The sequence below is a fragment of the Homo sapiens genome, chromosome 1 (genome assembly GCF_000001405.40).
Source record: "Homo sapiens chromosome 1, GRCh38.p14 Primary Assembly".
NCBI lineage: Eukaryota > Metazoa > Chordata > Mammalia > Primates > Hominidae > Homo > Homo sapiens.
The window spans coordinates 102,914,618-102,932,101 of record NC_000001.11 but is presented as its reverse complement, the minus strand read 5'-3'; the positions used below and the strand labels follow the sequence as shown (position 1 = coordinate 102,932,101).

The window sequence follows — 17,484 nt, the reverse complement described above, 5'->3', positions numbered from 1 at the left end:
AACTTTAAATGTAAATGGACTAAATGCTCCAATTAAAAGACACAGACTGGCAAATTGGATAAAGAGTCAAGACCCATCAGTGTGCTGTATTCAGGAAACCCATCTCACGTGCAGAGACACACATAGGCTCAAAATAAAAGGATGGAGGAAGATCTACCAAGCAAATGGAAAACAAAAAAAGGCAGGGCTTGCAATCCTAGTCTCTGATAAAACAGACTTTAAACCAACAAAGATCAAAAGAGACAAAGAAGGCCATTACATAATGCTAAAGGGATCAATTCAACAAGAAGAGCTAACTATCCTAAATATATATGCACCCAATACAGGAGCACCAAGATTCATAAAGCAAGTCCTGAGTGACCTACAAAGAGACTTAACTCCCACACATTAATAATGGGAGACTTTAACACCCCACTGTCAACATTAGACAGATCAACGAGACAGAAAGTCAACAAGGATACCCAGGAATTGAACTCAGCTCTGCACCAAGTGGACCTAATAGACATCTACAGAACTCTCTACCCCAAATCAACAGAATATACATTTTTTTCAGCACCACAAAACACCTATTCCAAAATTGACCACATACTTGGAAGTAAAGCTCTCCTCAGCAAATGTATAAGAAGAGAGATTATAACAAACTATCTCTCAGACCACAGTGCAATCAAACTAGAACTCAGGATTAAGAATCTCACTCAAAACCGCTCAACTACATGGAAACTGAACAACCTGCTCCTGAATGACTACTGGGTACATAACAAAATGAAGGCAGAAATAAAGATGTTCTTTGAAACCAATGAGAACAAAGACACAATATACCAGAATCTCTGGGACGCATTCAAAGCAGTGGGTAGAGGGAAATTTATAGCACTAAATGCCCACAAGAGAAAGCAGGAAAGATCCAAAATTGACACCCTAACATCACAATTAAAAGAACTAGAAAAGCAAGAGCAAACACATTCAAAAGCTAGCAGAAGGCAAGAAATAACTAAAATCAGAGCAGAACTGAAGGAAATAGAGACACAAAAAACCCTTCAAAAAATTAATGAATCCAGGAGCTGGTTTTTTGAAAGGATCAACAAAATTGATAGACCCCTAGCAAGACTAATAAAGAAAAAAAGAGAGAAGAATCAAATAGACGCAATAAAAAATGATAAAGGGGATATCACCACCGATCCCACAGAAATACAAACTACCATCAGAGAATACTGCAAACACCTCTACGCAAATAAACTAGAAAATCTAGAAGAAATGGATAAATTCCTTGACACATACACTCTCCCAAGACTAAACCAGGAAGAAGTTGAATCTCTGAATAGACCAATAACAGGATCTGAAATTGTGGCAATAATCAATAGCTTACCAACCAAAAAGAGTGCAGGACCAGATGGATTCACAGCCGAATTCTACCAGAGGTACAAGGAGGAACTGGTACCATTCCTTCTGAAACTATTCCAATCAACAGAAAAAGAGGGAATCCTCCCTAATTCATTTTATGAGGCCAGCATCATTCTGATACTAAAGCCGGGCAGAGACACAACCAAAAAAGAGAATTTTAGACCAATATCCTTGATGAACATTGATGCAAAAATCCTCAATAAAATACTGGCAAAATGAATCCAGCAGCACATCAAAAAGCTTATCCACCATGATGAAGTGGGCTTCATCCCTGGGATGCAAGGCTGGTTCAATATACGCAAATCAATAAATGTAATCCAGCATATAAACAGAGCCAAAGACAAAAACCACATGATTATCTCAATAGATGCAGAAAAAGCCTTTGACAAAATTCAACAACCATTCATGCTAAAAACTCTCAATAAATTAGGTATTGATGGGACGTATTTCAAAATAATAAGAGCTATCTATGACAAACCCACAGCCAATATCATACTGAATGGGCAAAAACTGGAAGTATTCCCTTTGAAAACGGGCACAAGACAGGGATGCCTTCTCTCACCACTCCTATTCAACATAGTGTTGAAAGTTCTGGCCAGGGCAGTTAGGCAGGAGAAGGAAATAAAGGGTATTCAATTAGGAAAAGAGGAAGTCAAATTGTCCCTGTTTGCAGATGACATGATTGTATATCTAGAAAACCCCATTGTCTCAGCCCAAAATCTCCTTAAGCTGATAAGCAACTTTAGCAAAGTCTCAGGATACAAAATCAATGTACTAAAATCACAAGCATTCTTATGCACCAACAACAGACAAACAGAGAGCCAAATTATGAGTGAACTCCCATTCACAATTGCTTCAAAGAGAATAAAATACCTAGGAATCCAACTTACAAGGATGTGAAGGTCCTCTTCAAGGAGAAATACAAACCACTGCTCAATGAAATAAAAGAGGATACAAACAAATGGAAGAACATTCCATGCAAATGGGTAGGAAGAATCAATATCATGAAAATGGCCATACTGCCCAAGGTAATTTACAGATTCAATGCCATCCCCATCAAGCTACCAATGCCTTTCTTCACAGAATTGGAAAAAACTACTTTAAAGTTCATATGGAACCAAAAAAGAGCCCGCATTGCCAAGTCAATCCTAAGCCAAAAAAACAAAGCTGGAGGCATTACACTACCTGACTTCAAACTATACTACAAGGCTACAGTAACCAAAACAGCATGGTACTGGTACCAAAACAGAGATATAGATCAATGGAACAGAACAGAGCCCTCAGAAATAATGCCGCATATCTACAACTATCTGTTCTTTGACAAACCTGAGAAAAACAAACAATGGGGAAAGGATTCCCTATTTAATAAATGGTGCTGGGAGAACTGGCTAGCCATATGTAGAAAGCTGAAAATGGATCCCTTCCTTACACCTTATACAAAAATCAATTCAAGATGGATTAAAGACTTAAACGTTAGACCTAAAACCATAAAAACCCTAGGAGAAAACCTAGGCATTACCATTCAGGACATAGGCATGGGCAAGGACTTCATGTCTAAAACACCAAAAGCAATGGCAACAAAAGCCAAAATTGACAAATGGGATCTAATTAAACTAAAGAGCTTCTGCACAGCAAAATAAACTACCGTCAGAGTGAACAGGCAACCTACAAAATGGGAGAAAATTTTCACAACCTACTCATCTGACAAAGGGCTAATATCCAGAATCTACAATGAACTCAAACAAATTTACAAGAAAAAAACAACCCCATCAAAAAGTGGGCAAAGGACATGAACAGACACTTCTCAAAAGAAGACATCTATGCAGCCAAAAAACACATGAAAAAATGCTCATCATCACTGGCCATCAGAGAAATGCAAATCAAAACCACAATGAGATACCATCTCACACCAGTTAGAATGGCAATCATTAAAAAGTCAGGAAACAACAGGTGCTGGAGAGGATGTGGAGAAATAGGAACACTTTTACACTGTTGGTGGGACTGTACACTAGTTCAACCATTGTCGAAGTCAGTGTGGCGATTCCTCAGGGATCTAGAACTAGAAATACCATTTGACCCAGCTATCCCATTACTGGGTATATATGCAAAGGATTAGAAATCATGCTGCTGTACATGCACACGTATGTTTATTGTAGCACTATTGACAACAGCAAAGACTTGGAACCAACCCAAATGTCCAACAATGATAGACTGGATTAATAAAATGTGGCACATATACACCATGAAATACTATGCAGCCATAAAAAATGATGAGTTCATGTCCTTTGTAGGGACATGGATGAAATTGGAAATCATCATTCTCAGTAAACTATCGCAAGAACAAAAAACCAAACACCGCATATTCTCACTCATAGGTGGGAATTGAACAATGAGATCACATGGACACAGGAAGGGGAATATCACACTCTGGGGACTGTGGTGGGGTGGGGGGAGAGGGGAGGGATAGCATTGGGAGATATACCTAATGCTAGATGACGAGTTAGTGGGTGCAGCACACCAGCATTGCACATGTATACATATGTAACTAACCTGCACAATGTGCACATGTACCCTAAAACTTAAAGTATAATAAAAAAAAAAGTAAGATATTAGAAGGGTCCTCTCATAGGACTCATAACAAGATAAGTTAGTACTTCAGATTGATAGCAATAGGAGGAACACGAAGTCCCAGGCAGACAGGGGCGGATCTGGAGACACTTTCGCTTCCTTTCCCCGGAGAAACTCGACCTATGACTCTTTACTTTCAAGATGGCTAAAAAAATTGAAAGCATTTTGAGAAATGGGATCCTGCCAAAAGCAACTGCCAACAGCACATGTTAAACAATAATAGGTAAAATAAATTAAGTCGATCATTTAAGATCGATTATTATCATTTTAAAATTGTAATTTGAATTTTATGAAACATATCCAGGAAAATAAATATTAAATTGTAGAACACTACAGCCTCTGTTCAAATATATCTTACAATTGGACTCTTAAACAACATGTTCCAGAACAGATACCTTCTATTCTGGGTTTTTGGTTTTTTTTTTGTTTTTTTGAGACGGCGTCTCACGCTGTCACCCAGGCTGCAGTGCAGTGGCCTGCTCTCGGCTCACTGCAAGCTCCGCTTCCCAGGTTCATGCCATTCTCCGGAGACGGGGTTTCACCGTGTTAGCCAGGATGGTCTCGATCTCCTGACCTCGTGATCCGCCCACCTCAGCCTCCCAAAGTGCTGGGATTACAGGCGTGAGCCACTGCGCCTGGCCGTATTCTGGCTTGTTTTTTTACCTTCCGCTTGATGTTCACTGCTTCCTATAAACCTTGGAAACGTTGAGCTTTTTTCTTCCACTTGCTTATTCTGTCTCTTCCTAGTGATCCACGGAAAGATTATAGCATTTTGTCTTAAATGATATTGAGGTCCCACATGAGGGTAACTTATGGTATATTATTTGTATTAGAAATGGTAAATTAAGTCATCTAGTTCACTGAACCTAGAAATTTGTGAACTTGTAGAAAAGCCTATGTAAATTGAATTTATATAAAAAATTTGTATCTTTATTTTTATAAATATGATTATAAAATTACTGTGTTGATATTAAATATCTTATGTGCATAATTACACAAATTGCATCATGAACACAATATAATGAATTATTACTGTTAAAACACTTAATAAATGTTTATCAGATAACAAGATTTTTTATTTATCTCATTTTAAGGTCAAAATAATTCTTTTTAAACTTGGAGAGTGCAAAAACTTCACTTTCATATTTGTCATGTTTAGGTTATACTTGTTAGACAATTATACGTAAACAGTCATAAGTACCACATATCAATATGTGTGTGAAGCATACATATTTGAAAACAAGGCATTAAAATTAGATTGTCAATGGGTACATTAATATTCATTTTCTTTTTTTTATTTGACTACTCTGAATCCTATAAAACTGTAATTTAGAAACAGTTCTCATGATTAAAGTAGGTGTCTTGTAGATTATGTTTATAAAATATTCAATAAACATCATCTTCATTTTCACGAAGAAATGTGCTCTTTGATGAGGGTGACTCAAGAAATCAATTCATTTAAAAAAGTGATTGCATTTTCCCACAGCTACTTCTGTAAATCAGGAAACTGAATGATGCTAATGTAATTAACATGTTCACAATTGCATCTGCCTCCTTTAATTGAGTCTTCATGGCAGAATAGATATTAGCAATTATAATAGACATAAATAAAATAATCTAATATTCAGGTTACATGTCTTGATTTTTCAATTTGATGTTTACTGTCATCTGCATATGAAGGATATATACACACACACACATATATGGAGTGAGAGAGAGTGTGCATTCTTGGCCTAACTTCATTTTTCAACTCATCATTTAAGTGGCAATGATTTTAAATTGACAGACCTTAAAACAGAATCTCTCCACGCATAAATTACCTCTTTGGAGAAAGGTAGGACATTTCATGAGAATGGATTAACCCTAGAGTGCTTTTCAGAGTGTTTAGTTCCATGCAACAAGAGATTTTGACTCATTGTGTCTCCACTAATTGTAATAATAATAATTTTTTGTCTTAATCAATACAAACTATGATCTAACTGAATTAAAAATAAATAAATTTTTTTCTATTGGGATATTTTTATTGAACTAATTGGAATAATTATATGCATAAAAAAGATGAAAATGCACAACTGGGTTTGTAATAAAAAAACTGTGAATTAATATTGACATACCTTTTAATTTGGGGATACTAAATTAGATGCACTCTATCCTAAAAGGGTGTGAAAACCTGGACAAAAAATAAGGAATGTAATTTTAAATTTATGGTGTTTTTGGAAACTTAATTATGTTTAAGTTGCAGTGTATGCTATTTAAGAAAATGGTGTTAAAGTGAAATATTTATTTAAACTGTGTTAAAATATACATGCATGTTTAAGAATTTAAGTTTATGTGTTTCATCAAATTCAGATTTTGAATTTCTGAAATTGACTGATTTAGAACCTAAAATTTTTTGCAGTCACCTACAATTTTTAGGTCTATAAGATCTGAGAAATACTACCTGTCTTTTTCTTCCAGAAACTTCACTTATAATTCTAGAAACAGTCATCAGATGATGGTAACAGTTTGGGAAGTATATATAGCAGTCTCTTTTCTTAGACATCTTACTGACATTTGAGAAAAAAATGAAATTCTGGTACATATTTTTTGTTACAAATTAGTAACTAAGATTTCCTCATAAAAATGAATATATGCCACAATTAAACAAATATATAAATATATTCAGTAAAGTTCCTTCTTTACAAACTGAAAGTCATGTGGATATAGTAGGTTATAAAAAAATTTTGTGGATCATTACCAGCATTGAAAAAATGAAATAGAACATGATAAGGTAAAATAGAATGAAAATATCAAAGGCTATCATCTATGCAAAAGGCTAAGTACTGCTTTTTTGAAACTCATGTTTCAGCTACTTTACATGCGCATGGTTAGGGAGCATTAAGTAAAATACATTTTTCACAGTGGCTCACAGTCAAATAATATTCAGCAATTACAGTGCAGTGTCAAGAAGTCAGTAATGTCACGAAAGTACTAGCAGTTATTTAGAGCTTTTACATTGTATTTTTATGTCTAAAATAGATTACATCTAAAATATTATGCAAACATTAAAAATTAATTATGTATAGCATATATAAGATGTATTAATATATAAATAATTATACACTAAAAACATGAAAAACTGAAAAAAATCCATAATCCTACAATATTAGAAACGATTACTATGTTTGCTATTTGTCTGATAATTAGCATACCTATTCTACCTACATATTTTACAGTTAAACTTATGCATATTCATTTGTATTTTTTATTTGTTGTATATATTATTCATGTTTAGAGTATTAGTATCACATTAATAGTCACATAACATTCCACTACTTTATGTAACTGAATTTCTTTAGTTCTTTTTTCTAAGATTAAACTTTTGGAATGACAGGATTTTCAGTATCATAGCTACTGTTAGCAAGAAACATTTTATTGAATGTAGCTATCCTTATTAGTTTATTTTCTTAGAGTTCATTCATTCAACAAACATTTTAATTTTTGATTGCTCCTCTGCTAGTTCCTAAACAGTTAACACCTAAAAGATCACTGATGAATGCATGCCCCAGAGTAGTTCATGACTGTAAATATACACAAAAGTGACATAAGAAAATTTATAAATGTACAATTGAAGTATGTACAAAGTATTGTTGTGACATGAAAGAGGAAATAATAATCTTCATGGAATAATTTTTGGGAAGATCAAATAAGTAGTCAAGAACTAAAATAATTTTTCGGTGAAGACATAGACAGATGAAATTTGAGTGCAATCTTTCTGTCTTCCTTTATACTGTAACACAGAGCTTTTCCTAAATATCAGTTACAGTGCAATTGAATACAATGGAAATAGATTTGAAAGAATTTTTTTGTCTTTTGGAGACGGAGTCTTGCTCTGTCACCCAGGTTGGAGTGCAGTGGCACGATCTTGGTTCACTGCAAGCTCCACCTCCGGAGTTCACACCATTCTCCTGCCTCAGCCTCCCGAGTAGCTGTGACTACAGTCGCCTGCCACCACGCCCGGCTAATTTTTTTTTTTTTTTTTTGTATTTTTAGTTGAGACGGGGTTTCACCGGTGTTAGCCAGGATGGTCTCGATCTCCTGACCTCGTGATCCGCCCGCCTCAGCCTCCCAAAGTGCTGGGATTACAGCCGTGAGCCACTGCGCCCGGCCTGAAAGAATTTTTAAAAGTATAATATAGTAGGTTTCATGGGCTCATTGATTTGTAAGATTCAGAAATTGAATTAACAGGTCAAAAATTCAGAAGATATTTATAACCTTTGAAATGTATTGGAATATTTATTTTACCAGACTGGTACCTAACTATAAAAACCTCATATACTAAAATATTTTGAGTCAAAAGATTCCAGAAATCTGTACCAGGGAAGTTCTATATATTATTTGTACGGGACTGAGCAAATGGTTGGGTGTTCATAAATTCCCAGATCAAATTAATATTTAGTTATTATAACTAAAAATAAACAATATAATATTATACAAAACATAAATTTTATTTGTAAATGTAGGTGTAAGATTTTATCACATGTGGTCAACATTTGCATAGTAGGTATTTTAACAAATGTTAGTATCTGAATCTTAATTTCCATGTACTTATTGAACTTTATACTTGATTTTATCTTAGAAATTGACCAAACTTTTTTTTTTAAAGACATCAGTGACTTTTATTATTTTTCTATTATATTTTCTTAGGGTCTGCCAGGCCCACCTGGTGAAAAAGGTGAAAATGGGGATGTTGGTCCCATGGTAAGTTTTTATTTTTGGTGTTTGATGGGTATGTGTTATATGCATGGCAGTCACTGGTTTGTAAAGTATTATGTGTTCTTTCATTACTATGTATATATTATTGAGGTGTATATAAGCAACTGACATGATTTAGTTATATATTAGTCTTTAGCTCTGGATTTTGATTTGGAGCAGGTAGAGAATAGGTAATATTCACTCAAGATTTAGATAATTAGCAATTTATACAGAATCAAAAATTAACTACTTTGAAACAAATTCTTAATTTAATAATTCTGTCTTAATTAGAATGCTATGACTTATAATTATTTGCATTTATTGATTCTGGCTCTCTAAGACCTGAACTGAAAATTTGAAATGCATATAATTGTTTATGAAGCACTACCTTAGATAAGAAAATAATTAGCAAAGGTAATTGAAATCCATAATGAAATGTGATGACTGCATGTCTTAAGTGGCCCTTTCCTTCAACATTGCCCCCAATTTTCACTTCCTTCAAAATACACATTTTGAAATTTTAACACTTGTCTGTTAGGTTTTATTCTCCTTAGGAATTACACTCAAATCTATTATATTCTTTGAAATGATCCATATCATCATTAATAAACCTAGATATAAGAAATGCATAAAAAACTTTGCTGGCCGGGAGCGGTGGCTCACGCCTGTAATCCCAGCACTTTGGGAGGCCGAGGCGGGCGGATCACGATGTCAGGAGATCGAGACCATCCTGGCTAACACGGTGAAACCCCGTCTCTACTAAAAATACAAAACAAAATTAGCCGGGCATGGTGGCGTGTGCCTGTAGTCCCAGCTACTCGGGAGGCTGAGACAGAAGAATGGCGTGAACCCAGGAGGCGGAGCTTGCAGTGAGCCGAGATCGCGCCACTGCACTCCAGCCTGGGCGACAGAGCAAGACTCCGTCTCAGAAAAAAACCACTTTTCTGATTCAAATAACTGGTTAATACTTCCAAGCAGTAACAGATACATAGCAAGTTCCTTTCCAGATATGGTTACCATCGTTCCATGAATCATTGATATATTCTTCCTGATTACACGGTAGTAGATAATAACAGAAAAGCTTTTCAACCATGGCATTAGAATAAACTGAGATCTTTTAAAAATACTAATGTCCAGTGAAATGTACTAATGTACAGTGAAAAACAAATTCGCTGTAGACTATTTTAATCACAACTTTGAGATAGGAGTTTCTGGCATCAGTATTTTATAAAAAGTTTTCCAAGTTAATTTTACTGCACTGTCAGGAGAGAAAATCTTTGTTTTACAATGAAATTAAATAATTATTCTTATTTCTAATTCTAGCATATAGAACCTAAGAGTTGACATAGAAAAAGCTAAAAATACCTATCAACAAAAAATACTTCTATTGAGTTAATGAATTCTAATTCTATTCAAGCACCATTTATTTTTCCAACTTTACATTCTCTTTATGTTGTAACATATTCTAGCATGAAATATATCTAGTTATATTGTGAACACATTATACCAGACAGTAGCAATAGGCTTTCTTGGCCCATTTTCTAATCAAATTGTTTCTCTTGAAATCCTAATTTCCTCATAGCTATGTGTAAAGGCTCATTTGCTAACATGATGTTGTATCCATGAAGGATGACTTATAACCCTGATGTGCTTCACTAACTATAGTTTTTACAAGCTTAAACTTCTTTTAGATTTTTCAGTCATAAAATGAAAATGTTGGAAACACATTTGAATTTGGTCTTTGTAAACCTCAATATTTCTCTCTTACAGGGGCCACCTGGTCCTCCAGGCCCAAGAGGCCCTCAAGGTCCCAATGGAGCTGATGTAAGAACTCTGAAATATATGTTAATTATTTTGAAGTTATATAGGTATTGTTATTTTATAGCAGATGCTCTTTGTGAGTTATAACAATATTAAACTATTGTTTAATATTAAGTGGTTAAGAACTCAAGGGTCACCTATTCACTCCACTTTATTATACAATGAAATAAATGGAATTTATAGTGAACAAATCATGGAAAATGTAACATAGGTACACATTTTCCATTCAATAGATATTTACTGGTGACTGAGAAATGTTATAATGTTGTGTATATTAAAATTACTACATTGTTCAAACCAACATACTTAGACTGTGCCTTGCATATGATAACTCTTATGCACTTGTTAACAGTGGCTTTCATGTAAAAGCTTTGCATTTTGTATTTTCAGACTATATAATGTTACAGCAATATGTGCGTGATAGGTGCACCCTTTATCATGTAAAATGTTTTCTCTTAATTGTATAAAGATGATATTCTCCAAGCTTAAAAATTATTTTAATGTTATAAGATTTTGAAATATAATGCCATATTTATCTTACTGTTACCATTAATGGATCCATGGCTTTGATGATATTTTTCCTTCTGGCCAACTTTTCACAATGAAGAAGTCTATGTTTCCTTCATGTCTCTGGTCTTCATTTTCTTCATTATTTAATATCTGCTTTAATTCTGGCAGGCCAGAACTGAGTAAAAATAGACTAGAAAGAGAGGAATTAAAAGAGTTTTTAGATTTTCATTCTTCTTAGGTAATTTAAAAGCTAAAAGATGTTATAAGGGGTTTGTTTCTTGCGTGGATTATGTAATTCTTAACCAGTGTCATAATTTTGATTCACTACAAAATCACCGCCTAAAACCAATCTGACTATTCTATTGGCAAAGAGATTGAAATTATGTTTCAGGAATCAACCAGAGTTTGAAAGTCTCCTGCTTTATCTTCAAAATTATAGTGAATTTGAAAATCAGTGTAATATATTGAATTATTTGCTTTCCAACACATTTGACAATTCTATTAAGCATCATTTAGTCTCATTCTTTAAATGACTAAGAATACTCATGCATCTATTTCTCTTTTTTGAGAACAACTAGACATATGTTTACGAATGCATTATTTTAATAAGAATATGGATAATTACATTCCTTTTTCTACACTGCAGGGACCACAAGGACCCCCAGGGTCTGTTGGTTCAGTTGGTGGTGTTGGAGAAAAGGTAAATATGTTAGTGACACACAGTTTGAAACAGCATGAATTAAGAACTGTAATAATATTGGGTAGTAGTTTAAGTGCTTCTAGTATGTGTGTTTCTAAGCCTTTTACATAGTTATATGATTCACATGTCATCTAGTAGTTGCAAAAATTAAAGTTAAAATGATTTTGCAATATTGTGTTTTGGTTGCCAATTATTATATTGAATGAGTGCAGGCATTATGTTCTTTAAGCAGGAACCTCACAATTACGGTGTCCTTAATATCCACATTTATAAGCTGAGAAAGCTGAGCCCTAGAGGATTCCTGTAATTTCATCAAAGATTTTCCTTAGAAAGTGACTAAGCTAGGATACACTGCAGTCCATGAATGTCTAGTAATAGTACTCAAAATAGAAGAGATTGGTTGATGTAACTGACTTAAAGGGAAAAAGGAATCCTGCAAGCCACAAAGGAATGAATCATTCATTTTGTTATATTTTGAGTTATATTTTCATTACGAATACTCTGACCTATCCTTGTCACTTGTCAAAATATTTGGCATGAACCACAATATCTGGGCTCAGAATAGCTTTTTTTTTCTTGTGAACATGATTTCATTTAAAGGTCTGCTCTTCCTTTTATAAAAATGTCAAAATGATTCATTGATTTCTTATTTATGCATTCATGCTCACTTCTTAATAGAATTTTCAAGAAAATTATCATGGATATTTGCGTGCTTTAAAAAATAAACTACCAATTTTCAGAAAGGGAAGAATTATATTTATAACATCATATATTATGCAGTGAAAACACTAAAAAATTCCTTAATATGCTACTTGTTAAAGGATATCTGCAGTGTAGACTTACTCTATTCTTAAAAATGATTTCCTTTCTTGGTCTCAAGTTTTTTGTGTATTTTATATTATATTTAAATTTATTTCTTTTAATTAAAGCATTTAATTCTCAGAAAAATGTAATAAGATTAGATTGTTATTATATTTTGATATCTACTTCAGCTTGACACCTGTATTCTAGTATTTTGATTATAATCATTATTTGATTAAGATAATTTTTAACTCATTAGATAAATCTTACTGCATTCTTTGATTGACTGCCTTTTTTAATATATTCTTAAATTTAAAGTTGTGTGTTGAAACTGTTCCAGTAGTTGGTGTTGAAACTGAAAACACACTTTTCATTCCATTCAGTTGTCCTAGAAAACATTTTTCATCTTGCTTAGTCTCCTATGGGAGAGCACTTGTCTCTGAGGATATCATCAGATTAGACAAAAGGCACCAAGGCACACACCTTTTCCTCTTCTCTTTGCATCATCTCCTTTTGGCTCTAATGCTGACTCAATTGTTGTGGGAGCTAGTCTCTAGGATTATTAGCTTTTATCGGCTTATCTTGTTTCCTAAAGAATTTGAATGCAGAGGGAAAGTTGTCATTATTTCAGTGCTACTCTTGAAAATAGGCATGAATGCCAGGTGTTTAGTTCTGAGAAACTTCCTTCCACATTGTTTCCATTTAATTTAAAGCCTATGTATATTATAGTAACACTTTGCCAACTTTGACTCTTATGAGAATAATTCAGTCAATCTGAATCATTTTGAATCAATCCCAGTCAAAATGAGTTACACTAAAAAACACAGTTTTAATTTTGCTCCTTTCTTTTGATTTTTTTTTATGTGACAGCACGATAGAAGCAGAATTCTAACCTTCATTTTTTTGTTTGTTTGTTTGTTTTTTGTTGTTGTTGATGTTTTTTAATCAAGAATAGTATAATTTCTAATAGATTACAAATTTCTAACATCAGCTTTGATTCTGGCTGAATGTATACCCATTTCTAATTGGAAAATTTATTTCCAGTCACTGACAATGAAGAATAAAAAAACCAGTATCTTTTAGTCACATTGCATTTTGTCTAAATATATTTAACCTGTTCTTCATGTACTGTAAAATTGCTATAAATAACTTTTGCACTTCACTAATTTTGTCAATACTTGGAAATATGTCAGGATATTTTCTTAAGATTTATACATATTTTATAACTTTGTACATACAGAGTAATTTGTTGTTCTTTCTGAAAAAATATGTACCTAAACAAGTGCTTTATATAATGAGGTAAATAGTTACACGATAAGTGATGAAGACTTCATAATCTAACATCTCCTTCATATATCAGTGCTCTATCATAAAACATATTAATTATTATTCTTCAGAATGAATAGTTTGTAGCATTTTGGTATTAGAAATATAGACTTAATTTATATAACATTAGTCTTGTTGCAATGATTTATTGATTTGTGATTTTGTCCCACCTTTCTTTTAAATGAAACATTTTAGATAAATTTTAAATTTCATTTTAGCTAATTGTCATTTTACATTGTGCACACTTGGATCTAACATACTAAATGGTAGTTTTCATATATTTTGGACAAATGAATATTAATATATTATTCTAAAAATGAAACTTTGTAGTAAAAAGCTCATACTTTTTTTGAAGCAGAATATATTTTAAATTTTTTATCACCTCAAGCATTTATCATTAGAAAGCACATACATAAATTCTAAGATTATTTAAACCTATCTTTTTACCACATATCATTTCACTCATTTAATAAAAAGAAAATAATCTTTTCACAATATCCATAAATTTAACTTTATAGTTGATAAGAACGAAAAGAGAACAACAAAACATATAGAGGGTTACTACGAAATATTTCAACTATTTCTTCTGCATTTCTAACTTTCTGTGATGTTACCATGAATTAATGTGGTACATAAGAAAACATTTTGGTTATTTCTTTTGCTGTGCAGAAGCTTTTTAGTTTAATTAAATCTCATTTGTCTAGTTGGGGGTTTCTTTTGCCTGTGCTTTTGAGGTCTTAGTCATGAATTATTTGCCTAGACCAATGTCCAGAAGAGTTTTCCCTATGTTTTCTTTTAGTATTTTTATAGTTTCAGGTCTTATGTTTAAATTCTTGAATCCTTCTTGAGTTGATTTTTGTATATGGTAAGAGATAGGAGTCTAGTTTAATTCTTCTGCTTAAGGCAAATCAGATTTCTCAGCACCATTTATTGAAAAGAGGATCTTTTCCTTTTTGTTTTTGTCAACTTTGTCAAAGATTAGTTTGCTGTAAATATGCTTTTTTAGTTACTACAGCCTTGTAGTTGAATTTGAAGTCAGGTAGTGTGATGCCTCCAGTTTTGTTCTTTTTGCTTAAGATTGCTTTGGCAATAAGACTCTTTTTTTGGTTTCCTGTGAATTTTAGGTTTTTTTTCTAATTATATGAAAAATGGCATGTTCAATGTACATGCTCAATAGACTTATCATATTTCTAAATAAATATTTTAACATGGACATTTTACAATTGATTTCAATGCCAAACTACTTGTTTCATTTTTAAGATATGAATATCAGCCCTTGGAAACATCACTAACATCATTACATTCTACTGAGATGAATGATACCTCTCTTTATAAATAATATAAATGCAATTTTTTTTTGTAAGAGTTATCCAAAAATTCTGGAAGTATTTGCTGTTCATCTTGAGAGATGAAATAATTTACACATCACACTACTTATAATAAACTCTGGAAAAGTACTTGATGTCTCCACCATTAAGTGGGTAATTTAAGAATTTAAAATATTTGTGTATTCTCACAGTAAGAAACTATGTACACAAAATAGTCTCTGCCCTGAAATTATGTTTGTATGTAATATGACACATTTATTTAAGAGCAGTGGATTTGTGTCAGGAATATTGGAAATATTAGAGTTAAAAAGTAAGGGAAATTTAGGCCTCACTTCTTTTTCAATTTAAAAGAACAATTTCCACCTCACAATTGCTGAGACCACTAGTGTGACTGATTTTGAGTGGAAACATGGTAAATGAATGTATTGTTTTACTTAAATGATTACTTGAACAAGATGTTATATTTTTGTGCATTTTGAATTGTGGGGCATTAGCAACAGACTTTCATAGCTAAACCCTACTAGTTACAGAGATTTATTTATTAGTCCACTGGGCTAGAAAAAAAGCCATTCATATGTAAACAGGGAGATAATAAAGGCTATCACATTTATGTGTATACTCAAATGGAGCAATTTTAATTAACGTCTAAGTACCTTTACATATATTATAATTATTGTCTTTCCTCTAAGTTCTTTAGATTCCTACTAAACAAATCCTATAAAATATCAACATATGTACCAGCAAGTCATCTGTTGATTTGTTGTAGTTAAGATAAATAAATTTACATTTTAGCAAACAACAATTTGAAAGTGTTCACTCAATAAACTTTATTGTAATATGAATATTGACACAGTGCAAATACACAATATTTTAGGAAACATGCATATGTCTGTTATGATGGTTTTGTGGTAATCTGGATTAATATGCCAACTATTAACCAACCAGTGACAACTACAGCATCAAGCCTGCATATTTCTGTCTACTCACCTGAGAAATAAAAGCACTGGAGTCACTGATAGAAAAATTTATTTTTGTTATTAAAGTTTTTCAATGCCTTTTAAATAATATAAAAAAATAAGGGCTAATCTAAAATGATATGATAACATTTGAATTTTATAAATGTAAAAGATCATCTCTGTATTCTAATACTAATTTGATCTTCTCTATATAGGGTGAACCTGGAGAAGCAGGGAACCCAGGGCCTCCTGGGGAAGCAGGTGTAGGCGTAAGTACTGTGTTATTGTTAACATAGTGTATTATTGGTTTGGGAATTTCTTTTACAGCATTACAAACATGTAACAACTCTTAGCTGTGGTTCGAATTTTACTTTCCCTTCCCAACTCATTAAGGAAAATCACAAATACAAAGCCTTGTTTAATAACTTTGGATATCTTTACATATGTGGATTGATAAACAAATTGAAAAAATATCATATTTGCTGAAGTTAGAACATTAAAACTATGGGCTGTTTACTGTATACATTCCCTTTGATGAACTGTCCATAAAAGGAACAAACAAAGAAGTCCTGCTGCCTTAAATAAACGTGTCAATTGTATTGTGACTATATTATTCTAATTAGTTTAAAACGCGATTAAATTTGCCCACCAGGAAATATTTGACAATATCTGGAGACACTTTTGGTCTTCAAACGTGGAGGGTTGGTATCCAGTTAGTAAAGGCCAGGGATACCATTGGACTTCTTAAAGGGCAGAGAACAGCTCCCCACAGCAAAAATTGTCTGGCCCAACGTGGTAAAACCCCGTCTCTACTAAAAAGTACAAAAATTAGCCGGGCCTGGTGGCGCGTGCCTGTAGTCCCAGCTACTTGGGAGGCTGAGGCAGGAGAATCGCTTGAACCTGGGAGGCAGAGGTTGCAGTGAGCTGAGATTGTGCCACTACACTCCAACTTGGTGACAAAGTGATATTCCGTCTAAAAAAAAAATATATTCTGGCCCAGTGTGCCAAGGTTAATAAACTTTTATGCAAAACTTGTAAGATAACTCTTCTTTCCTTCTTCTTCTTTTTTTTTTTTTAACATTGTTTAGGGTCCCAAAGGAGAAAGAGGAGAGAAAGGGGAAGCTGGTCCACCTGGAGCTGCTGGACCTCCAGGTGCCAAGGGGCCACCAGGTGATGATGGCCCTAAGGGTAACCCGGTAAGTGAGTTTGGTCCCCTCTAATGTGGCATTTATGCCAAACTCACCTTGGAGCTTTTCTTAGAAAGATTTGAAATCCTGAGACT

General features: G+C 33.3%; 1 protein-coding gene across 9 annotated transcripts in view; it reads left to right on the top strand.

Moving 5' to 3' along the window:
- Nucleotides 1–17,484, top strand: part of COL11A1 (collagen type XI alpha 1 chain) — a 232,050-nt gene that overhangs the window by 176,421 nt on the left and 38,145 nt on the right. For all 9 annotated transcript variants that reach the window (NR_134980.2, NM_001190709.2, NM_080629.3 and 6 more), the window contains 5 exons: nucleotides 8,713–8,766; nucleotides 10,531–10,584; nucleotides 11,738–11,791; nucleotides 16,418–16,471; nucleotides 17,291–17,398. Coding sequence is in view for 8 of the 9 variants with exons in the window: in NM_001190709.2 (NP_001177638.1) it covers nucleotides 8,713–8,766; nucleotides 10,531–10,584; nucleotides 11,738–11,791; nucleotides 16,418–16,471; nucleotides 17,291–17,398 (324 nt within the window). In the remaining variant the exon portion in view is untranslated. The remainder of the gene's footprint in view (nucleotides 1–8,712; nucleotides 8,767–10,530; nucleotides 10,585–11,737; nucleotides 11,792–16,417; nucleotides 16,472–17,290; nucleotides 17,399–17,484) is intronic.